Raw genomic sequence first — 27,139 nt, 5'->3', positions numbered from 1 at the left:
CCCACACCCCACACACTACCCACCCCACTCACACCCCACACACTACCTACACACACCCACACCCCACACACTCACTACCCACCCACACCCACACCCCACACACTCACTACCCACGCCACCCACACCCCACACACTACCTACACACACCCACACCCTCACTACCCACTCACACCTACACTCACTCATTACCTCTCCACATTCACATGCACTCACTACCCATCCACACCCACACCCACTCACTAACCACCCCACCCACATTCACTCATTACCTATCCACACCTCTACCCACTCACAACCTATCCCACTCACACCTACTCACTACCCACCCACACCCACTCAGCAACCACTTATACCCACACTCACTCACTACCCACCCACTCACTATCCACCCACACCCACACCCAATCACTGCCCACCACATCCACTCACTACCTATCCCACCCACACTCAATCACTACTCACTCACACCCAATCACTACCCACCCATACCCACACCTACTCACTCCTCCCCATTCTGCACTCACGTAGCCAAAAGACTTTCATCTTCTTCAACTTCCATGGCTGAGACAGGCCTCCTTTTGTTGTTTCCCAAATTTTGCCTCCTTACCACTGTTCAGTCTTTTAGGCTGCCAGGATATGCTAAAGCTTTCAGTTCCTAGTGACTGGTTGATCTTTGTTTGTTTGTTTTCTTAGTTAGTTACTTGAAGCCTCCTCTAGTAACCCTAAAACTTGCATGTTTAGCTTCCTGAATAAAACTTCTCTCCTCAAGATCCCAGTGTTATTGAAGAGGGATCAATGGGGTAATCACATGAGCCACTGAAGGTCAAAATTGTTCACTAGGACACAAAGTAAATGGCAGGAAGAAAGGGTGCAGGGAATTGGACACATATTGAGTAAGACACTGAAGTTGGGGACAGTGGAGGGCTCACTGGCTGAGAGTTTTTGCAGTATGAAGTTCTCACAGGCCACGTCAGTAGAAAACTGTCATGTGAGCTCCCATTGGCTAAGGGCATGGAACAATGCTCAGAGCATCAGAAAAATCATACAGTTGTGTTCGATAAATCATGCTTTAAGGATAATATTAAATGACATGCATGCGTATGCATGGAGTCTATTGAGCAGGTAGTTCTCTAACTTGGACAATGAAGGATACATTGGCATGTCACAGTCCTATGACACAGTCATTCAATTCATTCCACCAACTCCCCTGGCTTTCATTCTTGGCTCACAAAGCACCTTCTGTTTATTATCCGGCTTTTAATGGACAATTCTGTCCAATCACTGAACACATTTATCAGCTTCACTTGCTTCTCTCTAAACTATGAAATCAGCATATTATAGCCAGTGCATCAGACTTTCGGTTTTCATGTTCCTTCTCTAAAAGACTAACCTGAGTATATTACCAAATAAGCTCTCCAACCAGGCAAAATGACAGCCGCATGCCACGATGTGGTGCTCATACACAGGTCCTGATCCCCATGAAGCCCTGTCTCAGCAAGGACTGGCCTTCCTGGATAACACTGCTATCCTGATCAGCAGCCAGTATGATCCTAAGTTCTTTACATGTTGCATCAGTCACGTATGCTAGGTTACACTGCAGCAACAAATAATCCCCAGATTTCAGTTTGTTTATTATCAATGCTACATGTCCATTATGCGTCAGCAAGAAGCTCTGCTCCACATCATCCTCAATCCCAGACCCAGGCTGAGGGAGGAGCAGCCACTTTCTGGAGACTTAACTACCACTGAAACAGAGGAAAAGGGAGAACATGGTGAGGCACCTGCTGACTCTTAAAGGTTCATGTACTTTCTGGCCAAACAAGTCACATGGCCATACCTGATTTCAAATTAACAGGAAAATGCAATCTTACCATGTGCCCAGAAGCAGAGACAGCCAGAATCTTTAAGAACAAAATTAATAGCCACCATATATATGCTTCTATCCCCTCTTGGGGCAATCCATTCCCAGTATTAACTTTAATTATTTTAAAGGACTTCCTACAATAAGCCAAAATCTGTCTGTGCCAGGCACTAGAGATATAGCAACAAATAAATCAAAGTCCCTGCTCTCCTAAGATTTCCACCATAGTGTATCATCCACCAGTCTTTGGTCTGCCAGAATAACTTTACTCCCTCTTCATTTCTTAATCCATTCAATAAGCATTCACTAAGCACCTACTTACATGCCAGGCACTGTGTGAGACTCAGAAGGTCCAGGGCTGAAAAAGTTATGGTCCTCCCAGAGCTGACATTGTAGGGGTTTAGCTAGCCATCCAGGAGGATCAGTTACAGGTACATGACTATTTATAACACTGAGCTAGGTGACCACAACATTTCATTGGAAACATTCAGAGAGGGAATATGCCATATTGCAGAGAGAAGCTTCCAGTGATTCTCAAACTGAATTCTGAAAAGCCTGTAGGGGTTCCAAAGGGTTCTTCAGACACCACACTGAGAGTGAACTGGCTGCTATGTCCCTCCCTTGCTCTTAATCTGTTTTGCGTATTTTTTTTTTTTTTTTGAGACGGATTTTTGTTCTTGTTGCCCAGGCTGGAGTGCAATGGCATGATCTCGGCTCACCGCAACCTCTGCCTCCCAGGTTCAAGCGATTCTCCTACCTCAGCCTCCCGAGTAGCTGGGATTACAGGCATGCACCGCCATGCCTGGCTAATTTTTTGTATTTTTAGTAAAGACAGGGTTTCTCCATGTTGGTCAGGCTGGTCTTGAACTCCCGACCTCAGGTGATCCACCCGCTTCGGCCTCCTAAAGTGCTGGGATTACAGGCATGGGCCACAGCTCCCGGCCACTTACCTTTTATAAAAGATTTAATTTAAAGGGTTCTACTCTTCGAGAGAGAAGGGGAAAAAGAGGGGAAACAAATCCATGATCTAGTCTGATACTCTCTCATTTTACACATGTGAAAACAAGCATGCATTAAAGTTACATAATTTACCAAGGTCATATAGTGAGTTTGAAGCATGCCTAGGTAGGAAGCCAACTGTCTCTGCCTGTCTTAAGCTTCATAGCCTTCTTTTCTTTTTTTGAAATTTACACCAAGTCTGCAGAGGAAGCTCCAAAAACAAAGATTTGAATGTCTGTCAGTGGGAAAAGCTAATCAGTGGGATTCAGCAATAGATTCACTGAGGAATCTAGAACCTTTTCCTAGCTAGTTTGAGAATGCATATTACCACCTGGCTGGAGCAGAGAGCAGGGCCTTCCCCTGCCTTCTCCTGGCCTTTAAATCCCTGCCCAGCAGGCACAGAGCCATAACTGCAACAATGGCTTCTGCTGCACGTTTGTCAAGATTTGAGAAAGGGCTCATTTTGGGAATCCTGAGTGAGAAAATTCCCAGATCAGTTCTGTGCGTCTGCTGTGAATAGAGGCAGGAGAGATATTTCAACCTCACAGGAGCACGACTGTTTCAGACAGAGTATCAGAGAGTTCATAAATATGATGGGTTTTAGAAAGTGGAAAGACATCAATTTTGCCTGGAGCATTGGCCAGAAAAAAAATCGCATTATGTATCTAAAATTCAAAAGGAACATAACACCAACAACAAAACCTTTTGTCTGCCTTCCAAATGTTAAGTGCTATACACTTCCTCACCAAACTCATCAGAAATTCAAATAAACTGTTTGATCTATTCTTTCTCTGGCAACTGACATTTATTTTCACATACTCCCTGATCTATGCAAGTCTCTCAGACACACACAATAAAAATCAGACTTTATTTATCAGACATTTAAGGTTTTTCCCTCCAGGCTCCAGTAGCCTGAGAAAATCTCTAAGTTTGCCCTCTCTGCAGACTCACCACCGTCTCCTGCTCTACCCTCCTCTGATACACAAGAGGAAAACCCATTAAAGGGTATTGTACAACTCCAGGCATCCTACTCTCTCTAATCCACTTCTCTTATTTCAACAATACCCAAAATATTGCCGCCGGGCTCTCAATGAGGGTCAATTCAAAAGACATCCTGTGGCCACAGCAGTGAGCTAGCTTCCACCTGCAGGGCGGGCCCAGTAATGCTGGTGTCTGAGAAATGACAAGGAAGGGCCATTTACCGTCCCTCTCCATCAGAGAGAGGTAGCAGTGGCAGCTCGTTTGCTGGAATAAAGGATGCATAACTGGCCACATAAGCTGCTTCCACACTCCTCCTAGCAACTCTTCATGCCATGCATAATATCACAGAGCATAAAATTGCAGAGCCCAGCAATGAGGCCTCCAACCACAGCCTCAGGGATGGCGGCATGGTTCTACCACCTCCCAACCACATGGCTCCATCCACAAGAGAAATGGGTGAGAAGCCTTTAAGATAGATGTACATTGTTTATAGCAGAAACTCTGGATTTTTCCTCTCCTTAGATCTTCACCAAACATAACTTAATTCCCGCTGAATTAAGCGCACCTGAACACAACCTTATCTTCCCTGCTGCTTAACACAGGCTACCAGCCGCTTACCACAGTAACAATCTTCCAGCAAAACAATGCTGGAGTGCGCGCTGTGAGAGTTAGGCTACTCAAATGTTACGCTCCCCGCACCGCCGGCGAGGGGACAAATGACTACTCTGATGGATTCGGTAGCCCAAGGAAATTATCGCTTTCGGAGGGATGGCGGCAGAGCAGGTCGGGCATGCTGCATTTGCCTGAGTTGGACCGCGTGTGAGCGAGCTTACGCTCCCCGCGGGCCAGGCCCAGCTCCCGTGCTTTCTGACAGGTGAAGTTGAGCATCCTTATCAAACCCTCGGGAAGAACAACGATCCCATTCCACATCAACGTGACTGGAAATCTCAATTTAAGAATTGGATGCACCGGTCGGTCCACCTGGGGCTTGTCCAGCTTTCCATCTTACTTCGCGCCTCTGATGTGTCAGGCTTTTTGCACAGATAGCTCACATATTTAACCCTCAAAACACCGTTTCCTGAAGCGATGCTCAACCAGGAAAACTTGCCCCAAACTGCATGATCATCTTCCGTGGCTTCTCTTCCCGAATCCCTGCTCTGTCCACCAGGTGCGGCCCCGCCCCGCATCCGCACACACCTTTTCCGCCGCTGCCCTGAGCGCAGCGACAAGGGCCCCCACACCTCCGCGGCCCGCAATGCTCCGGGGCCAAGCCGAGGCAGGGAGGCGCTCCCGCAGCTCCTGACTTTACAACCCGCGCGCGTGTGCACCGAGCCGCGGGCACACCGCGAACACACACACACACACACACACTCGTGCGCTCCCGCCCTCCGCCCGGCCCGGGCTCTCCGAACTTACCTCCGAGGCGCCCCGGGCGCAGGGCCCGCCCTTCTCTGCGGGTCTCCAGCGGCTGTTCGGCAGTGGTCCGCACGGCCTCCGATGCCGCGCCTCCGGTAGGCTCCAGAGTCAGCTGGTCACTGTCACCCGGCAGCCCGGATTCCGCGCCCAGGGTTGCACCCCGCGGATGGAGCGACTTTCGCCTCCGCCGCCCGAGTCCAGGTCTGCGCTCACACGCGCGGCGCTCACACGCGCGGCGCCCACCTGGCTGCAGTCCCGGCCAGGGCCAGCGCGCCGCGGCTGAAGGGGGCGCTCGGACTCCTCTGGGGCGGCGCGCAGCCGGGACAGTCTCGCATGACGCCCGCGCTCCAGCGGCCCCGGGACGCGGCCTCACCCTCAACCCCTGGCGGTCTCAGCCTCGGTCTTTGTGTCTCGGTCGGCGTCGCCACGTCATGGGCTTGCAGGCTGGGAGCAGCGCGGGCCGGGAACGCGGCTGGGGAGAGCTGGGCTGGGCTTCTCCACCGCCGCCCGCCCGGGGCGCTCAAGCTGGCGGGGCGCACGGGCAGCAACTGAGCGCACCCTGGGGGACCGAGGGGGCGGTCCCGGGGAGGGGCGCGGCGTCGCGCCAAGGGGGTGCCCTGCCAGAGGCTGCGGCGGAGGAAAGTGGGAGTCAGAGCGCCGCCGGAGCCCCGGGAAGGCGGTGTCCGTTCGGTCCCAGGTCGCGGCTGCAGCGCCGAGGGGAAAGCGAGCGGAAGCTGCGCGCTGGAGGGAGCCCACCACCCGGAGCCACCCGCGGGGTTCGCGTCTCCCCACTCCCCTATGCTGAAGGTGACTGCGGCCCCCAGTGGCAAGCAGGGGCGAAGAGTGTCCTCGGCTCTCCTCTTCCCAGGGAGCACTCGGGGCTTCGGACTCTGCAGTGGTTTGCAAGGCCAGGGCCAAGTGGTCACTTCACTCACTGATTTCTTCTTTTGGCTGGTGTCGGCTTAATTGGGATCCAGATTGGAAAGACTGTCACGTGACCACCCCTCCCTGTTTCTCTCCCCCCCCACACACACACACATACTCACTCATTCACACACCCCCAAACCCCACGAAACTGGGATGGGTTTCCAAAAGCTTACTGGATACATGGATCAGAAATGGAGGCCTTCCGTGTCACCCTGTGTGCTGGAGTGGAGCCGAAACACAGCAGCTGCCTCTGGTGGCCCCATCTAGACAGATCCTGTCCCTGTGGCTGGGGAAGCTCACGTTAACAGCACTTTGCATCCCCAAGACAAGAACAACACAAACAAAAAGGGTGAGGGAGGGAATCATAGTTTCGGGGCCATGGAATCTCATTTCAAAAGGAAAGCAACACCCCCACCCCCACCACCCCACCTCCTTCCCTGCCACCGAGTTACCGAACAGAGCTGCTAAGGAGCATACCTCCCCAGGGACAGAGCCCTCTCGGGGGCTGTGGCGGCTTTTCCCTGGCCAGCTTCTCCCTGACATTTGCTACCTGTGATCGGAGCAAAGGCCCTGGGGGGACGCAGATCTCAGTCTCAGCCTCCCTCAGCTGTCTGGATGTGGGTGGCAACAACGCTTTAAAAGTGAACTTGCAGCTAGTCCCAAGATTCATTATCTGATTCTATTTTTTGGTGCATGTTCAAATTTTACCTAATAAAAAGTTTTTTAAAAACAAAACAAGCAAACAAAAGTGAACTTGCTAATAAATGGATACTTTAAATAACGCCCTATCAGGGTGATACGTGTTGACAACTAGATTTTCCCAGAGCTCCTCTCTGCCCAAGTTTTTAAAATCCATTTGCCTTTATTACCTTATTGTGAGGCAAGTTCAAACCTATTCTAGTAAGGGCAAACGGATTTGAAAATGTAAAGTAGGAGTGAAGTTTGTTTGATTCACTGTACCTTGCCTAGTGATTTTAAATTTGTAAGTAGTGCTGGCTCTGTCTTTGGGTCCCAATATTGTTTGTGGCAAAAGGGAGCATAAGCTTAAGGAGTAAAGGGGGTCCCCAGGGTAAGAAGCCTGTTTGGTAATAGCTAAAGACTGTTTGGGGGCCTCATTGTCCTTTGAGTTCAGGGGCAGATTATTTGAGACCTGAACAAGTATATATTTCTCCCAAAACCGAGAACAGTTGAATCCACATGGAACAATTAGGACAGGAAGCTGCGTGGGATCTGCCTTTTCTTTTGCTTTGAGTTCTTCTTTCCTGTTTTTTCTCCTGTTTCTTCATGAAATACTACCACAGAGACCACATTCTAGAAGGAAAAACCATAGCTTCCTGAAACTCAGATTCAGTAAAAATCTGCTTTTCCCTCCCTTAGTTCAGCTGAGGTCGGCTAGAGGTTTATTTAATTTCTTTCTGAAATAACCCTTTTGGAAAACAACTTTTAAAATTTGAAACAGCATAAAAGGAAAATGCAGATTAGAGCTTTCTGATCCTACAGTTACTCAGTTCCAGCCAGAGTTGGCTAGTGGTGTTTACAGACACAAAGGATTCAAGTGGTTGCCCTTTTCCCCTCCTGGCTACTGATTTCTGTAAGCCTGCCCCAGAAGCCCTCATTCAAGCCTTGGGAGGTATTCCTCTCACTTGTGGCCACTCACCCCTCCCCAAGTGGACACAGATACAGTAACACCTCAGCCAGGTGCTGTCTCCTCCTATGCCCCCCTCTCTGGGAAGAGGCTGGAACTTGGACTCCCTCTCCCGTTGCACACACGCACAGTGGACATCTTTGTGCACAGCCCATCTTCCCCACCTGGGGAAAAGTGAAGGTTATTTGTCTGCACTACTCACTGCACCAGAGTGATACTAAATTATATTCACCATTTATCTATGGACCCAAGGCATTCAGTTTGCAGGGGCTGGGGGATGACGCGAATTCATGGCACCACCCTCCCAGGATAAGTAGTTTAAAAAAATGTTTTGGTCTGGGCAATAGAAAGAGACTGACGATGAGATGGGAGACTGTGCACCAGATCACGAAGACAAGAATAGAATAAGCATCCAGAAACTATCCAGCCTCCACATTTTCCTCTGTTTCTAGTGGTGTCCCACTCAGATCCGAAATTTCACTTCATAATATCATTGGCAATGGTGTGAAAACCCAATGTGGTGTAAAAGAAACAGCCTTGAGTTTGGAATGTGAAGACATGGTTTTAGACATTTGATAAGTGATATAAACCACCTATGTGAACTTGGACAAATCACTTGACCTGGTTTTGGTCCTCTAGCATTTAAATGGAGGGTTCTACTTAAATTTAATATTTGAACCCAGAAACATGGACGGTTTCCATCTTACAGGATCGGAGGTTGATTATGAAACCTAATAAATTGATGAGGTCCATGTGATCCAGTCTCAATAAGTGTCCTATTCAATGAAACATAGTCCAGCAGCCAAGAGAAATGTATCATTAATCAAATCCTTCATTTGAACTTCTTAGAGACTAACATCCTCCTCTCTCTCTAAGCCCTTCTTATCTCAGCTGCTTTAAAGCTCCTCTTTCTCCAGTGCCCCCCAAATTCTCTCTAAATACATAACACACATCTTTCTTCATCTCTCCTTTCCTACCTCCTCTCTACTTTTCTGCATTGTGTAGAGCTATGCATTTTCTCTCTCCTGTCTTTAGGGGAGGGAAGGGGAAAGGAAAACTGTGGGCAAAATCAGAATTCTCTTTAGTGATAGAGGTAGGGGAGAAGACTGTGACCACTGACACATTAATACTTTTTAATCCATCATAATCAGATCTCCTGTGGTACATTTTAGATGTATTGAACTATTAGAAAAGGGCACTGGATATAGCATCATTATATAAAGATTTTGTCTCCAGCTCACCTACTATCTAGGTAAACTTGAGATAGTTTCTTAACCTCTCTTGAGCTTCAGTTTTATCATCTATAAAAGTGTAATAAGAGATTTCATAGAGTTTTTGGGAAGATGAGATAAATGGAAAGTGGAAGCCTCATAACAGGTATTCCGCAAAAGTTTGTGACTGAAAATGGCAGGCTGAAAGAAAAAACAAAAGGAAGGAAGAAAAGGGAGGGAAGGAGGGAAGGAGGAAGGAGGGAGGGAGGGGGAAGAAAGGAGGGAAAGAGGGAGGGAAGGAGGGAGGGAGGAAAGGGGAAGAAAGGAAGGAAAGAATGAAGGAAGGAGGGAGGGAGGGAGAGAGGGAGAGGAGGGAGGGAAGGGGAAGAAAGAAGAAAAGGAGGCAAGGAGGGATGGGGGAGGTAGAGGAGGGAGGGAGGAAGGAAGGGAGAGAAGAAGGAAGGAGGGAGGGAGGGAGAGAGGGAGAAGAAAGGAAGGAGGGAAGGAGGGAGGGAGAGGAGGGAGGGAGGGGGAATAAAGGAAGGAAAGAAGGGAAGAAGAGAGGGAGGGGAGGGAGGGAGGAAGGAAGGAGGGAGAGAAGGAAGGAAGGAAGGAAGGACTTTCATCTTGGCATCTAGGCATAAGCTTGAATGTACCAGTGAACAAGGAATTGGGCACGGGAAAACTGTTTCCTCCTCTGGGCTGAAAGGCTGAGCTGTAATCTCCTTTTGGATCCTGAGAGAAGATGTTGCTTTGCTGGCCGACAAAACGGCAAGCAGTACACATTTTTACAATCATGTCATTGGCATGGGTACCCCGTGATTAGTGCTTAGCAGCTCCCTCTCTGATTCTCCTCTGAGCTGCCCAAGAATCCTGTATCTGTATTTCTCCTGGGTACTCCAGGGTTGTCACCTGCCAGGACAGCACTTAGTGACTTCACCCTGAACCCAGAGTTTTTTAGATCTCATTCTATTAAGCCTCAGTTGTCCTGTATCTTATATAAGCACTTAAAAGGATATATGTCATGCACAAATAAATCTCAGAGATCATTTAAGATATAATTTTCAGGCAGTAGAACAGTAGCTTCTAACCTCTACTTCACTTCCTAGGGAAACACTTTTTGATATAATATCTGTTCCCAGAGGAATTCCACGAGTGGCAGGACTTTAGCTACAACAATAGGTTTATGAGACACAAATTTGGAGTGAAGTGGAATATAGAGCCACTCCCCAGCTCTTAACACTTTGTTGTGAGTTAAATGGGTAGAGATTGATAGTAGCAGATTGCCAATCATAAAAATGAGATCCAGAAGGAATGGTAAACTTCTGATTTTTTAACTTTTATTTTAGGTTCAGGGGTACATATGCAGGTTTGTTATATAGGTAAACTCGTGTCATGAGGGTTTGTTGTACAGATTATTTTGTCATCCAGGTATTAGGCCTAGTACTCATTATTTTTCCTGATCCTCTACCTCCTCCCATCCTCCACCCTCCAGTAGGCCCCAGCCTCCATTGTTCCCTTCTTCGTGTCCATGAGTTCTCATCATTTAGCTCCCATTTATAAGTGAGAACATGCATTATTTGGTTTTCTGTTCCCACATTAGTTTGCTAAGGATAATGGCCTTCAGCTCCATCCATGTCCCTGCAAAGGACATGATCTTGTTTTTTCATGGCTGCATAGTATTCCATGGTGCATATGTACCACATTTTTTTATCCAGTCTACTATTGATGGGCATTTAGGTTGATTTCATGTCTTTGCTATTGTGAATAGTGCTGCAATGAACATACGTGTGCATGTGTCTTTATGGTAGAACTATTTATTTGCCTTTGGGTCTATACCCAATAATGGATTGCTGGGACAAATGGTAGGAATTATAAACTTCTAAGTGATGCTGTGAATTATAAATGAATCTGAAACTAGAACTGAGTTCTTCTGAATGCAGCCCAGTGCTCACAAAGGGTTACTTCCTAAATTTCCTAAAATACGGCCTGGAGTTCAGAGCATCTCTATGCTGTCTAGGAGCTTCCTTGAGTCAGGCTGGAGACTAGGGGCCTCTCTAGACGAAGGTGAGTATAGCAGTACCCATGGTCCCCTTCAGAAGGCTGGTCCCAGGGAGCCAGGCTGAGCATACTACAGCTTGAGTTAATCCATGCTCCACTGAATTCTACTCTCCTGCTTTGCAAATGGCCTTTCCAAGCAGAGGCTGCTGTGGTGGCCTGTTTGGCAGATGCAGAGGATATTCGTTTTTTGTTATTTGGCTGCCCAGATTCCAAATTCTCTCCCTATTTCAATGGAAGCTGCCATAGTGAAATTTCAAGAGCCTCTCTTCTCCTGAACCTTGACAGCATGGGCACGGGCAAGTGGCCCGAGCTTGGCCAACCCAATGCTTTTGCCTGAGGCTGTGAATCTGAAGCCAGGGACGATGTGAAAGAATCTGGTGACAGTCTGAAAATCGTCCCACCCCTAGTGGTAGTGGCATCCAGGGTACAATGGTCTGAGTCCAGTAGTGGGAGCAACAGAGCCTAAACAGCCTCTTCCTGTGGCACGACCTTGGCAGTGATTCCAGCCCCCCAACTCCCCCAGTTTCCTTCAGTTCCTGCATGCATATTTTCCGATACTGATTCTCTGGCCCCACCACTGATTCTGTCAGCTCCTGATATCCGTTCAGTAGATTCCTTCACTCTCCAAGCACGCCAGAGTCAGTGTCTGATGTTGGCAACCCAGAGTCCTGACTGGTGCATGAGAGATTGGCTTTTGACTCTTGGAAATGATCATGCCCTGGAAGTCCCAGACAGGACAGCTGCGTTGAGATCCAGCTCCGAGTGTCCAGCCATGATGAAACAGAACTCACCAGGCCACAAGAGCTTCCTGATGCTTCCCTCTCCTCTGCAGGATACAGGGCCTATTGTACAACACAGGGGCTAAAGTGTGGTGTACTGACCAAGGAGGCAGGAGGCTTGGGTTCCAGGCCCGGCTCTCTCGTGTCTGGCTCTGGTACCTTGGCCAAGGCACTGCAGTCTCTGGACTTCTGTTTCCTCAGCTGTCGAATGAAGAGGCTACACCATATGTTTCCTAGAGACCTTTGCCACTCCAATGCTCAAGGATTCCTGGATGTCTGGGGAAGAGTCCCCAGTCATCCTGGCTGCCAATTTTTACCTCCAAACGAGTGAGGCTTGTTGGTTGAGCTGCCATGAATGAGAGATAAAGGAGGAAACAGTGGAGAGGGGAAAGGAGCTTTGTCCATGGTTTGAGATTCTAATTTCATCATGTGAGGTGAGGGAGGAATGAGACATGCTGTCCTGGTACAGGGGTAAGTGGGGAAATCAATATATTTTGGGCATTACCATTTAACTTACAGTCACCTATTAACTTGCAGTGTTCAAATGGGATGACAGTTATATACATTGTTAAAGAAGAACCATGGGCCTGGCACGGTGGCTCAGGCCTGTAATCCCAGCACCTTGACAGGTGGGCAGATCACCTGAAGTCAGGAGTTCAAGACCAGCCTGGCCAACATGGTGAAACCCCATCTCTAATAAAAATACAAAAATTAGTCGGGCGTGTTGGCGCATGACTATAGTCCCAGCTACTTGGGGGACGGAGGTAGGGGAATAGCTTGAACCTGAGAGGCAGAGGCTGCAGTGAGCCAAGATGGTGCCCCTGCACTCTAACCTGGACGATAGAGTGAGACTCTGTCTCAAAAAAATAAAAAAAAAAACACAAACAAACAAAAGAAGAACCATGACTCCTCCTTTTTACGACAATAATTGCACACTAATGCTTATATAATTTATAGATGTCATTGTTTTTGTTGAAACATGAGTGTTGAAACTTGCATCCTGGGAAGAAGTATCTAGGCCTTCCTTCTATTTCTTCTCCACAGCACCCAAGCATCCAATAACATCCAAGTGACTTGGAAAGCAAAAGAATGAATTTTTGTGGATTTGGGTCGCTGATATATCCCAAGCACTAAAACAGTGCCTGAAATACAGTAGGGGCTCAGTAAATATTTGCCAAGTGAGTTCGATGTTCTTGTAAAAATTACCGAGCATGAATCTCTTTCATTTTCAAGTCCCCACAACTAAATGCAAGACCCAGCACATAATAGGTGCTCAGCACATGTTTATAGAATCATCTCTGTACTTTCATGCAATTTTATCTGGGCACTTCCCAGCCCAAGCTTAACATTAACCTTATAATATCCTCACGCTGCAGCAGGGATTTGGTTTATTTGTTATTTTATCATGACTTGACAGATGGGAGAAGAAAGCCACAGTGCTGTGAATGAAATGACTTCACCACGTCGTTCAGAGAGTGGGAGTTCTCTAATGCTGTTCTAACATTTTCTCCACTAGACTGAACTTCAAAAAGAATTAGATCTCAATTCAGCATACCTAAATAATATTGCCTGAAAAGGAAAGTTCAACGAAAGGAAACTCAATCGAAAAGGGTACTTAAGGGATTGCTGGTGCTTCAGGTGCTATTTTGTGATCAGATAAAGCCTGGTCTCTCTATCTGAATGTCTGGTAACTAAGCCTCATTCTGAGAGTCCCATTATTTCCATGGAGTTATCTGGATCACTGAGATAAACAAAAATATTTTTAGGGTCGGCATTGATGGGCATGCCTCCAGGTTTCCACTGAAATAACCACCTCCTTCATGATGTCAGGGATGTTAGGTTGGTAGACAGCTTGAATCATCCAAAATTATCTACCAGCTAAGCAGAAGAAAGATAGCTCTGTTAGCACCAGATCACAGGGTGGCATGCATTTTATTCATTCTGTGAAAACACCAGTGCTACCAATATGTCAGGCCCTCTGTTAGCTGCATCTGAATGCAGAGATGTCAACAGAAGCTAACAATTATCTAGAATTTGTTACATGCCAGGTATGTGTTCTGAGACTTATCTTACTTAATCCTTACAAAAATCCTATAAGGCAGGTCATGCCATTATTCCCACTTTATGGATGAAAAATTGAGGCAATGAAAGGTTTAGTTATTTCCCTAAGGTTACAAAGATAAGAAGAGCTGGAGCAGGGATTTCAGCCCAGGCAGCCTAATTCTAGAACCTACGTGTTGAATGTTTATACCATTCTGAGATGAGTGACACATAGTCCCTGCCCTCAAAAGTCTCACTGTCCACTGGGAAAGGCAGATGCCAAGAAAGTCCTTATAACTCAGGGTGACCAGGGAGTGCAGGATGGTGTGGGGACACTGAAGAGGGTGGGCCATAGAGGAGCCATAGGAGTGTCGGTTATTGTTAAATAAATTGTTTAATTTATTGTTTTGAATAGGTAATAATACAATGGTATAAAATGTTACAACACTCAAAAGAAACCAGCTAGTTTCCTTGTCCAGAGACAACTGCTTTACCAGTTTCTTATATGTCCCTCCAGAGATAGACTAAGGAAATAAAAGAAGGTCAGCATAGTCTGTTATTTTTTTATACAATGCTAACATTCTATACACATTATCTTACATGTTAATTTGTTTCACCATCAACATAATATTTTAGAGATTACTCTAACAGTATTTATAAGGCTGCCTTATTATTTTTTAATTAAGCTTTTTATTTTGAGATACATATAGAGTCACATGCAGTTATCTTATGTTTTATGGTTGCATAATACTCCATTGTAGAGATAACCATAATTTATTTAATGAGTCTCTATAAGGGAATATATAGGTCATTTCAAAAGTTTTGCTGTTATAAATGTCAATACAATTAACAGACTTGAACATATTATTTCACACATTTGCAAGGAAATGCCTGTAGGATAAATCCTTAAAAGTGGAACTGCTGAATCAAAGGGCATATGAAATTTTAATTTGTCAATATTGAAATTTTACCTTCCCTTGAGGTTACACCAATATACACTCTCCTCCAACTGAGACTTCAGTTCTGCAATGGTTTTATTTCCTCTTGTTCTACCTGCCCATGTTTTACCTTCTTCTGTGGTCTGGCCAAACTTCCCTCACCTTCTCTCTTATCTGCCCTTTAAGCTTTAGTTATATACAAGTGGCAGCTTCATTACACTTTTTGAACTGTGGCATCTACTTGGCACAATTTTGTGGCAACATTTTTCCAGTGAATGTTCTTCATTTGCCATTTGTTTTTTTTTCTTTTCCATTCCTCTCTTTCTGATCTTGTTATTCATTTCTGAGTGATATTGTCTCTGCATATCTGAAACCCTTTTTTTTTTTTTTGGAGACAGAGTTTCACTCTCGTTGCCCAGGCTAGAGTGCAGTGGCTTAATCTTGACTCACTGCAACCTCCACCTCCCGGGTTCAAGTGATTCTCCTGCCTCAACCTCCCTAGTAGCTGGGATTACAGGTGCCCATCACCACGCCTAATTTTTTGTATTTTTAGTAGAGACGGGGTTTCACCACGTTGGCCAGGTTGGTCTCGAACTCCCAACTCAGGTGATCCACCTACCTCGGCCTCCCAAAGTGCTGGGATTACAGGCGTGAGCCACCACGCCTGGCCTGCATATCTGAAGCCTTTAACTCAGAAGGGATGTTTTACAGTGGTGCCTCCTGACTGTGAACAAATAAGAACTTACTCCTTGAGAAAAGTTATTCACTGAAGGTTTGGGGATGAGGGCTGGGGCCTCACTGGAGGTTGGCAGACCCCCTCTCTGTTCACAAGGTCATATGAGGTGAGACACTGGGGATGGGGGCTGTTTCAGCATTCACTTAGTTCCTTTCCTTTGCAGAGGCCAGCTCCTGCCGGCTGCTCATAGTGCAGTCTCTCTCCTTACCCCACCTTGACAACAGGCTGCTGACTGCATATACAATGTGTCTCCATCCACTCAAACTCCCACTATTTCTCTCCACGTCAAACTAGCTTCAGGCAAGTTCCCACCACCAGGCGACCCACCCTTTTCCCTTTCCTCTAAACAAGGCATTTCCGGGTTTTGGCCTGAGGATATGTTGCCTTCCCTGGAGAAGTGCTCGCTTTGCCTGGGATTTGTACAGGCAGGTGGGCAGGTGTCCCCTCTGGTGTCTTCCTTTACCCCTAGCATTCATATGGCTTTCACTGCCTTTGGAAGCCCCTCCCTCATTCACTTACTCCATGTTTCATCAAAGATGGATTCTGAACTGCTTTTGCCCCTTTGGAGACCATTTCTAAGAGTAGGGGGAGGTGGCATGACCTCTTCATCCCTTTACCCTAGAACTTCATTCAAATCCAAGAGGTGTTCAATTGGAGCTTGACTGCTGTGTCTAGAGAGATCTACTGCCCACCTCAGGGACACCTTCCTGCTGTGGCTGAAGGGAGAGAGACAGGTTTCAGGTAGGTGCAGTGGCAAAGATGCAGGAGGATCAAAAACCTCCTGGACCTGGAGGGAGAAGACCTGAGATCAAGTCCTTCCTTTGCTGCTCACTCTGGATAGATCTTCAGGCAGGTCACTGTGCCCTCCATAAGGAGGTCACTATCATCATCCTAGGCTGGTGCTGACCCACAAACTGCTACCTGCCCACAATAGCAGAAATTCACAAATCAGGGTAAGTATTCAGAAACTTTCATAGCACTTTGACAGAGTAATTTTATGTATGTTGAATTTAATAATAAACAATGCTGGCTTATATTTTTGTGTGTCTATTTTGTTACTGTAATTTTTTTACTGCATTACTTTTTTCCAATATTTTATTCAAGTTTTATTTTAACTGATGTTATTTACAGCATTTGAAGAGGAGGATTTAATTCCACACAAAATGGAAGACCCTGAAGTGTACCTATTAAACTGCTAAAAGATAAACTGAGTGATGAGAATACAACAGAAGTCCAATGTAGATTCTGAGTATCGTCACCATGTGATTACAATCATACAGACTCTTTCAAGCTTAGAGCTGGAGCTCCTGGAAGCTATTTCGTACTCTAGTGCAAGAGCAAAAAACCACAACATGAAAGGAATTAAGTCCTGAATTATTGGCTTCATTACATCCACCATTTCCACCCCAAAATGACCCAAAAGAAACAGTGACCACACCCTGTAGGCCTTTTGGTGTAAAAGAGGTGATGAACTGGGGCAAGAACAGGTCATGAAGATTTGTCTATAAAAGTCCTTTTCAGGTGAGTTTGTACACCACCATAGAGCAATTCGCCTCATATCAATTAGGGTTAGGAAACCAAGTTTCAATTCTCAGGAAGTCACAATTTCATTCATTTACTCAATATGAATTTACAAAGTGCCCACATATTACCAGCTTCCACTTGCAGTCATTTCTAGATAAAAAAGAAGCCTGGTATCTCTAGAGGGACCACCAAGTTTCCCCCAAGCCTACAGCTGAATTACTTTTGCGATAATTTGTAATTCCTGTAATTATTTTTCCAAAAATTTATTCTTATTTTACTGTATAAAAGTATTGATTTGAGTAAATTGGACATTTTTTAAAATACTGGTATTTCACATCAGTTAGTCTGAGAATCACTGCTCGATAAAACACCCACATTGCCTAATGATGTAGGCAAATTACCTGAGTCCTTATTAAAAATGTGTATATTAAGTTCTCCCTGTAGAATGATAATCTAATGGATATAACATTCAAGCATCAAAAGTTTTCTTCTTCCCTCCCTCAGCATCTTAAAGATTTTTCCTCATTGTCTTCTTCCACCTAGTGTTACTGAGACAAATTTGATTTTCATTCATACATAATAGTCTATCTTTATTCTCTGGAATTTTAAAGAATTTTCTTTGTCTTTGATGTTTTAAAATTTCACTACAATTTGTTCAGGTGTTGTTTGTTGGTTTGTTTTTTAATTCACCCTAGTTGGTAAACAGTAGGCCTGTTCAATCTTTTCTATGGTTGTAGACAATTAAGCTTTTTTTTCTCAGATCTTGTATTCTTCTCACCACCATTCTTTCTATTCTCTTCTTCTAAAATTGTTATTAAGTAGATTTGGGGGCCTTTGGATTCATCCTGCATGTCTCCGAACATTCCCTTTATGCTATGTATTTTTTCTCTCTTAAACCATGATTTGAGAGAATGCCTCAGTTCAGTCATATATTTTATTAATTTACTCTTTGATTCTAGTCATTCTATTCAGCTCGTTTATTGAACATTTTATTTTAGCATTCATGTTTTCATTTCCAAGATCTTCTTAGTTATAAAATATCTTTCTTCTGTCCTAACTATGTGCTGTCTGGGGGAGGGAGAGAGGACATGAAGCTGTTGCACATAGACAGCAAAGTCCCCTCTTCATAAAGGGTTACATGTTACCAGCTTCCACTTGCAGTCATTTCTAGATAGAAAAAGAAACCTGGTATCTCTAGAGGGCATGCTGGGGGACACCCACGCAGCTGGCCAGTGGACAGTCACAGGCAGCAACTGCAAAGTCCAAGCCCATTCAGATCCCACTTGAAGTCTGGCACCATCTGACACTGGTGGTGGTCCACTTCAGTTTAAATATCAGTGGAGACTATCTTGAGTCATGAGGCTTCTGAGAGTTCCAGGACACCAGAAACTATTCCAGGGCTCCCCTGATTAGTTAGTTCCCACCTTATCAGCTCAGTCTGAGAATAATCCCGGGGCAGGAAATACTCTGCCTCCCAGCTTCCCTGCTATCCCTTTTCCTGCGAGGTCTTGCCCTCTCACCATGCCACCGCTCCCCATCCCCACAATAGCTAAGAAGGGTAGCCTATGGCCGAGGCATGAACCAACACCCATCACATTATATCTGAAGTCCCAGTAGGGTCGATGTGTTCCTTTAGAATTAAACTCTTCCTTTGTTTGGATGAATTGACTCATTTACATGGGGTTTGCTCTCTGCAAATGTTTGCTGCCTTTAATTGCAGGCTCGTTTTCTTAGCCAAGACTCAGTTAGTGGATCTCCTGCTGGGCTGGGAGAAGATGAAGGAATCACCCCTGCAGAATGCACTGCGCTCATGGAGTGAGGCCAGCTGGCTGGGCTCCTAGGGCAGCTGTCCATCTGGGCATTAGTGTCCCCTTTTCTCCCAGGGCCCTGCCTGTCCTTTCCAGTCCAAGCATCTATACCCACTCTTCCGGCTGGAGGAAAACAGCATTCCTGCTGCTAATCTCGGGCTCCCTCCTGCCCCCAGCTTTTGCCACCTTTTGACAAAGAGCATCCTCAATGTTATCCCCATTTCTCTGTCCCAAATTGTTCACTTATGGTGTCCCCAGCTGTCCTTCCCTCTGCTATCTTAGGGCTTTCCTTGGTGGCTTTCTGCTGTCATCTTTCAAGGACCCATCACAGATTCAACACTGAGAGTACCCAATGTGGTTTCCAAGGGTGAATAGCTTACAAAACATTATTTTATATCATTTCTATGGAGTTTGTGGATAGGCAGAGTGGGTGCAGGGGACTGCGAAACCATGCTAATGCCACTAAATCAATCTTCACAGCGGTGTTTTTAAAAGACAGTTTACACCTAAACATCTTACTTAAATAACTTCTATTTTTAGCTCTTAATAGCTTTGCTCTGTGACTTTGAACAAACATTTCACCTCTCTGATTTCATTTTTTTACCTATAAATGGAAGATCTGGGCAAGATGATCTTTAAATTTCTCTCTAGTCTGCAATTCCACATTTCTGCCTTAAATGCAGCTGTGTGTGATCAAAGGAGTGGGGCTTTCTGCTGGGATTCCCATAAACAACTGACAGCCTTCCCATCCTTTATCTCCAAGGAGAATCACGTGATTAATTCTACCTTTTCCCAGTCCTTGCATTTGCACTCCGCATTACAGTTTTACTTGTCATTAACTTGGATGACACTCATTTAGAATGTATGATAATTCCGTAACTGGACCAAAGTTTATCTTCGCTTCGTAAAATCGTGGCTTCATGGAAAGTGCAGATAAACAGTGTCAACAGCACGGCCAAGCCCGTGTTCAAAATCCTTAAGAAGCAGCTATTTTTCAAGTCTCTGCAGGCATTTCCAACATGTGCTTTTGTATCTACCAGGAACCAACTTTTAATCCACAGCATTAAACCAAATAGCCTGATGGTCAGGCCTCTTGATGGCTCTAAGCCTGGCTGCTTTCCCTTTGGCCCTGCTGTGTGCGTTTGCTCCATACTTTTAAAGATGGAAGAGCGAAGAGCCCACACTGCAGAGGGGATCAAACAGTAAAACAGAGAAACTCTGGTTCTGCAGCAGCAAACAGATGATTTCTAACCACAGCTGCTGCAGCCTCATAAAAAGGATGCAGGGAAGCTGATGGAAGACACAGGAGATGGCCAGGGAGGAGATCTCCAATTAATGAAGGAGGAAGCCCTTTCAGGTACCATTTACCACACAAAGTCAGACACTAACAAGCCATTTCAGCAGGAAGACCTGCAGCTTTGGAGGAGAAGCCCGTCTTCGGGATCCACATATTTTACAAGTGCCATAGATGATTTCTAAGCCCACCGCTAGTGGAGAAATACTGTGCTGATTAGAAAGGATTATTAACCTTGGTTAATAAGACTCATCCTGCAGTGATGCCTGGAACTATCTGCAATTTAATAGACAGATGCTTACATTAACAGCTTCCTAAACTGTGTATTCTACATTCTTGTGATTGTTAAGGAGGTGTAATTGAACTATGTGAACCTGGCAATATTTGCAACTCAAATCCCTATGTCTGAGTGGGCAGAGAAGATGAAAGCAGCCTCCTGCCAAGAAGTGAACTTGGACAGAGTACCTGCTTGTGTTGGAGCCTGCTGGCCCTCTCTGTGGGTGGACAAAGTCAGGTGAGCTCACGGTACCTGTGTTGCACATGTGACGCCTGGCAGCTGTCTGCCTAAAAGAAAACTTCACAAATCCCTGGGAAGGTAGAGATTTTCCAGAGCCCTGAGGAAAGGGCTCATTGTCAGCTGGTGTCAAGGCCTCCCCTGTGTCCAAATGGATGTAGTGAGGATGCTGAGAGGAGGAGCAGAGGTCACAATGGACACTAATGGCCTCTTTTACCATATGCTGATTGGGAGTCAATGGTCCTAGAGACTGGGTATTCTTGCAAGCTAAGAAGGTAGAACCACGGTGTTCCTCAGCCAGCCACCATGATCTCGGCCTGCCTCGCTGACTGCTGTGAATTTGTGGCACTCAGATTCAGGGGTCGATTGTTAGATTTAGTCTCACTTTTCCCGTTTGCTATTCTAACGCCCTTCAATAGCTCAGATTATTTGCATAATGAGTTTCCCCCTCAGCCCTGTATTTGCCTTGAAGAGATCAAACTCCACAAGATGTTTGAAGATCTCTACACTACCATGAAGCTGAAGAAAATGGCCCCATCAGACTGGATTGCCATTATTAATGAAGTGGTTCTGTCCTGGTAAGATGAGACTTACGACCCCTGGAAAGAGATCACATTGCTGGCAAGCTAGGAATTTCTCATAATGGGCAGTGGATCCTGGCTGGCCAATATTTTTGGCCAAGAAATCTGTTCGATCACAAACAAGCCCCTCCTTTCCAGATGTGCCAGGCAAGAAATTTCCATACCAGCTGCCAATTCAGGGCTGAACTGATAACTTTAAGACTGATTTATAAAAAGGCAGAATAGGAAGCCAAGAGAGACATTTTCTGAAAGCTGTCCATAGTGGTGTCTGTGGCAGCTTTGGCTATGATAGAAACAAGTTTCCGGTGTTAAGAAAAGAATTTTGAAAAGTATGCTATATTCACTAAGATGATGTGTTCCTCGACCACTAAAATGAAATTAATATCTGAAAGAGAAACAAATTTAAGATACGCTATGTGAACAAAAACTTCAAAGGAATCATATACTGTGTATTACCATTGCAACAAAGAAAATATCTACCTTGGCATATGAACAAGAATTGGAAGGTATGGAGCAGAAGGGAAAGTAATAGTTGATGATTTTTTCTATAATTTTTTAAAAGTATTGCCTTACTAAACACACACAAATAAGTTTTCCTGCCACACCATGGGAATTTTGTTTGTTAAACCCCTGAGCTATCTCCAGGTCTCTATGTTCTCAGCATACAGGCCTGTAATTAAAATTTCTGTTTCATGCTTCTTGACCTTTTCTGGGAGTGCTGCTTTTGTTATGGCTTTGACACACTCAGACGTGAGCCCCTAGAGTGATGTAGAGGGAAAGATCCAGCCAGCCCTAAGGAACCTGGCCTGAATGCACCCTCTGTAAGTTGCCTCTGTTCACAATCCAATCAAGTAGAGCCCTCATCCAAATTCATCACGTAATTTCCCAAAACTAGGTCCACAGTGCAAAGGTTTTACCGCAACTACTACCGATTTTGGTCTGCAACTTCAAAAGAATTCAGCCACCCTTGGCAGAAAAATAATAATACCCTCCTGATATCAGATTAACAGATACGATCAAGAAATTGCAAATAAGATTAAAAGGCCCAAGTTGGGTAATCTGTAGCTCCTTCGTGCTTTGGAGGATATTGAGAAGGCACATTTATTGACTTATTAGAAATGACATATGGTCTCATCCAGCCACTGACCTGTGGCTCCCTGTGGCTGACATTGTTAAATGCAGGACCCCTCAGCCCTGGAGTCACGACCTTTCAGTAGGTGCCTATCAGTCTCTGGGTGTGCCTGTCCCTATTCCAGACTAACAGCAACTCTTGGTTCCCCATGAGCACCCTGTGCTTTCCCACTCTGTCCTACTTGGCAGGGCCCCTCACCCTGGAGGCCTGTAGGGCTTTCCCCCATGTGAAACTTATCCTGACACCTCACTGGGTTTCCCACATCTGCATGAGGAACCCAACACAGCATCACTGTTTATTCCTTATCTTGACATGGACAACCTCAAAGATTCAACCTATGGTCGCTGAACACAGGCCCATTGTTAAAATTTGTGACTGTCTTTTCTTAACCTTGCTGGAAAGCTCTGCATTTTATCACAGATTAGACATGCTCAAGATCCAAACCCCTTGAGGACCTAAGGGTGCTGGTTTGTACCCGTCTTGGAGTGCTCACTGCATTATGCCTTGAGCTATAATTATCTGCATGCTCCAGGTTAATTCCCCCATCCCACCCCAATTTGATCGGGTCTTACTCATCTCTGAACCCAAGTGCCCCTCTAGGCACATTACAAGCACACAATACCTTCTCAATAATTATTTATGAAATTCAGGTGACTGTTCCAAGGAGGTCACCTACATCTCCAACCACGCTAAAACTGCCTTCTTTTTAGCTATACCATCCTCATTCTTATCTCCATACCTCAACCTCCCTGTCCATCCATTCAAACCATATTTAGCCATCAAAACTCAGCTCCAGCTACACTTCCACCTTAGCTTCTCCCCCGGTTTGCCTCTTACCTACAGCTTTCTGTCCTCTTCATAGTTTCAACCATGACTACATCACATATCCTGACACATCACTACTTTTCTGTACTTGTGGTTTACTCATTCATTTGTTCCACAAAAATCATTGAGAATTTTTTGTGTGCCATGTTCATGGGAATAGAAAGATTGAAAACATGCATGTAAGTAGAAGGTTGCTTGGTAGGAGGAATTCAGTGCACAGGGATCTTAACCTATATATTAGGGCTCTTTGTGTGCACTCACAGAATCTGAAACTGGCTATCTTGAATTGAAAGAGAAGTTATAGGAAGGATGTAGTGTTGCTTCCAGGAGAGAAAGAAAGGCAGGAAACCCCAGCACAGCACATAACAAATATCTGACAGCAACAAATGCAGGCATCCCACATTTTCAGTCCCTTTGCTTCTTTCCATATCATTAACATTCAGGGAATGGGTGTATCAGTAGCCTAGTGTGTCCTATTTCACAACTAGACAAAGGCAAGATCTAATTAAATACATACCCCACCTCCCCCTAGACAGTATCCCATAGAAGAGAAGTAAAAGCTGGCTGCCATTTTCAGTAGAAGGTGGAATAGGTGCTAGACAGCCATAAACAATTAATATCCATCATAGTGCACAGTGATATGTTCAAATATTTAATAGCATAAAGTTAAAACTGTCTGATGTATCCAGTTCTATAACCAAATCAGACCTGCCACTTAGCACAGTCATGACGAGGTTGGTATGAAGGCATCCTTACCCCTAGATAGTGCTGGGATACACACTGTCCAACCAGGACTCACAGATAATTCTTTATTCTAACTAGATTGTAAAGTTCCTGCTTGAACAAGAGCTATGTAAAGTTTATTCCCATGCTCATTCCTGTATCCTCCCAGTACCTAGCACATGATCTATGTTCAAATGAACACACCTTCAGCACTACTAAATTGGGACAAGGCCAAGGTTTCTTACCTGGATGGCAATTTCCCCTCTTCAAACCTCACCATGTGTGTATTTTAAGAAGGTGATTATTTCAGTCAAGAATTTCACTGAAGGAGTCAATACAGGCTCTTTGATCAAAGCTTCTTGTTGTTTCCATGGAGGAGCAACCCCTCTGTTGGGTTCTGCAGAGCATCTGGCATGTGGCACACTCCTTGATGAGCCAATAATTGGGTGGATCACAGAGCTCTACATACAGCTGTCTGCGTTGCAAACGATTGACCTGCCAGTGCTTTGAAGGGAGCTTGGGTCCACAGCTACAGTCCTTCTCTGAATCTCTTTTTTAAAAATCTTTTAAGTTTAGGGGTACATGTGCGGGTTCAGAACCCTGGCTGGAGAGCTAGTGTGGTCATTTGGAGAAAGAAGGTACTCTAGTTTTTTGTGTTTTCAGAGTTCTTGCTCTGGGTCTTTCTCATGTTTGCAGACTGATGTTCCTTCAGTCTTTGAAGTTGCTGTCCTTGGGATGGTTTTTTTTTCTCTTGTATCCTATTTGATGACCTTGAGGGTTTGCTTGTGTTATAAGATGAGTTCAAATGACTGGCTTCATTTCTGGAAAATTTCAGGGAGCCAAAGCTAGGCTTCCAACTCCTAGACTGCATACCCTAACCCTAGGGGATTGGTATCAGGCCCAACTTCGTTCTCTGGCTCCTCAAGGTTAGGAACCCACTGTGCTGGGTGCAGCCAAGGTGCTCCCTGACTGCTGGTCACAACACTCCAATGGGTGGTGCCAGCCAAAGCATTTTGTAGGGCAGTGGCAGTGGAATCTGTCCTCATTCACATGTGCCAGTGGTAGTGGCAGTGGCAGCGCAGCAGGGTGCATGCTCATTGGCTATGGCAGGGTGCTAGGGGGTGCCCAGGTGCCAGCCTCCATGTGGGCATTGGCAGCAGCAGTGGAGGCAGCATGACATGGGAAGGTGGGCCCCTCACGCCCAATGGCAACTTCGCATGCTGTCCCGCTGGTAGTGGTGTTAGCATGGGAGCGGGAGACTGGCAGGTGCTGGTCTGCGTGCACCCTCTGTCTGAGTTTTTGCAGGCAAGGGTGGCTGCTCAGGGTGTGGTAAGTCCACTGTTCTCCCTGCCTAGTTTCACTCCAGCAGCAGTGTTAGTGCAGGGGCAAGGCACTGGTGAAGGTGAGGCTGGTGGACTCTGTGCCTGCCAAGGCTTTGACTGCAATGATGGCATGGTGTGGGGAGGAGGAGGCTGAGTTCACTCATGCCAGCAGCAGTGGCAGGGCAGGGCACATGCACACATGCACACTGGCAGGGCAGAGAAGGCAAGATCTGCCTGCTCACATGTGCACCAGCAGTGATTGGGGGGGATGGCCATGGGCCCAGCGGAAACTGCAGTAGAGGAAGGAAGTGGCTGGGCTGGTGCATGTCCATAGGGGCTGCTGTGCTGGAGCTTTCTGCTTTGGGTAGCCCTGGGGGCCCGCATCACAGCTACTGCACTGGCAAACATGGTGTGGTTTGCCAGCACAGGAGCTGTGATGCGGGCCCCCAGGGCTACCCAAGGCTGCACTGCAAGCAGGCACGGCCAGTCTGGGGCTCCAGGAGAGACCAGAAAACCAAGGGGTGCTCAGGTTATTGAACTGGCCTCATCTGACAGGCAAGACCACCCTGAAGAATTTAGTTTCAACAGTCCCCCTAGGGTTAAAGTCTGCCATGGGAGCAAGTCGAGCCTAGAGGGATGGCTGTCCCTGGCTATGCTTTATTGCAAATGCTCCCACACCAAACCCTCTGGGCTCCACCCAGGCTGAAGTGCTGCCCCTACCACTTCTCCAAGCAACTCTCCCTGCCAGCTCAAGTGTCTGTGGTGGTCAAGGAGTCTCCTCCTGCCGGGATTCCAGAGGCCTGTGGTGAGAGCAGGTTGTTCCTTGCCAGTTTAACTCACCTGTTCCCCTGGAGTCACTGGGGACCAGGAGCTAGTCCCAGTGCATGGTAGCTCTGTGCAGCAGCTTCCTCCCACTTCAGCGTAGCTTCTGTGTCTTCCCTCCATCCACTCTCAGTGCCTCCCCGCTGAAAATCTGTTAGGAGGGTGCCAGTCGTCCCAGTCCCTCGGTGGCAGGTGTTCCGCCTGGCTGCATATAGTCGACCATCTTGTCCACCTCCTTCCAATAAGCTCCTCTGAATCTCTTCATTGTTCAAAAAGATAAAAAGATTTAAAGGATGAAATGTGGAACCATGAACTGCCCAGGATAAAGCCCTCCATTTGCATTCTCTAGTTCTGTTGATTGCCTAGCCCCTTTGTGGAAGAATTTACCTTTATTGCTGGCTCTAATTATCCTCCCCTAGCCAGAAAGTTTACACATTCACCTGCCAGAAATGGGGAGCTCTTGGGAACCACAAGATAAATTGAACAGGCTCTAGTTCCTGTTTTTCCCCTGGATGCCTGTGTGACCCCGGGTGAGTTACCTAATATCTCTGCAACTATTTCTTCCCGCATACCTTAAGTGATTAAATAAAATGATCAGTTCTGGAATTCTGAAAATTTCTTTGCTATTGCTAATTATGAGCAACCAGCATGTTTCTTGTTCTCGGGTTACAAATCAGTAAGACAAATATAAAGAGAATGCTTTGACATCAGGGGTCAAAAGACACATAAAACACTATCGTATAGATGTGACATTCCTGTCAATATATTTTCATTAAAAAGGCAGGACATGTTTCTGGAAATGTATTGTGATAGACTTGGGAAATTATAATTTAGATTGAAGCACTTGCAAATCATTGCTTCTGAGAGGTTGCTGCCAACTTTCATAATTTTATTTTTCCTTTATCCTGGGCTGTTATTCATATACATGCATCTACGAGAATGTATATATATATATATATACACACACACATATACACATATATATATTTCACATGTATCT

At 45.8% G+C, this 27,139-nt stretch overlaps 2 protein-coding genes across 5 annotated transcripts in view, besides 1 other annotated feature; both read right to left on the bottom strand.

Annotated features, from left to right (window-relative positions):
* Nucleotides 1–26,398, bottom strand: part of MINAR1 (membrane integral NOTCH2 associated receptor 1) — a 60,905-nt gene extending 34,507 nt beyond the window's left edge. The window contains exon 1 of one of the 4 annotated variants that reach the window (XM_017022027.2): nt 26,158–26,398. The gene's annotated coding sequence lies outside the window, so the exon portion shown is untranslated. Of the gene's footprint in view, nt 1–524; nt 1,776–5,257; nt 5,463–24,240; nt 25,688–26,157 lie in introns of those variants that run through there. The other 3 variants (XM_011521392.2, NM_015206.3, XM_011521395.3) reach the window with 3 other exon arrangements.
* Nucleotides 18,504–19,037: an enhancer, noted in NCBI's record as "NANOG hESC enhancer chr15:79711103-79711636 (GRCh37/hg19 assembly coordinates)". NCBI's record gives its function as "activates a minimal SCP1, AML or CMV promoter by ChIP-STARR-seq in naive H9 embryonic stem cells {active_cell/tissue: H9 hESC(naive)}" and the evidence as "EXISTENCE:reporter gene assay evidence [ECO:0000049][PMID:30033119]".
* Nucleotides 23,912–27,139, bottom strand: part of TMED3 (transmembrane p24 trafficking protein 3) — a 102,775-nt gene continuing 99,547 nt past the window's right edge. Inside the window, exon 3 of the mRNA NM_001330376.2 lies at nt 23,912–26,398. Coding sequence (NP_001317305.1) covers nt 26,294–26,398 — 105 coding nt within the window. The 3' untranslated portion in view covers nt 23,912–26,293. The remainder of the gene's footprint in view (nt 26,399–27,139) is intronic.

The sequence above is a fragment of the Homo sapiens genome, chromosome 15 (genome assembly GCF_000001405.40).
Source record: "Homo sapiens chromosome 15, GRCh38.p14 Primary Assembly".
In the NCBI taxonomy this organism is placed as follows: Eukaryota; Metazoa; Chordata; class Mammalia; order Primates; family Hominidae; genus Homo; species Homo sapiens.
This window is presented reverse-complemented; position numbering and strand designations above follow the sequence as displayed.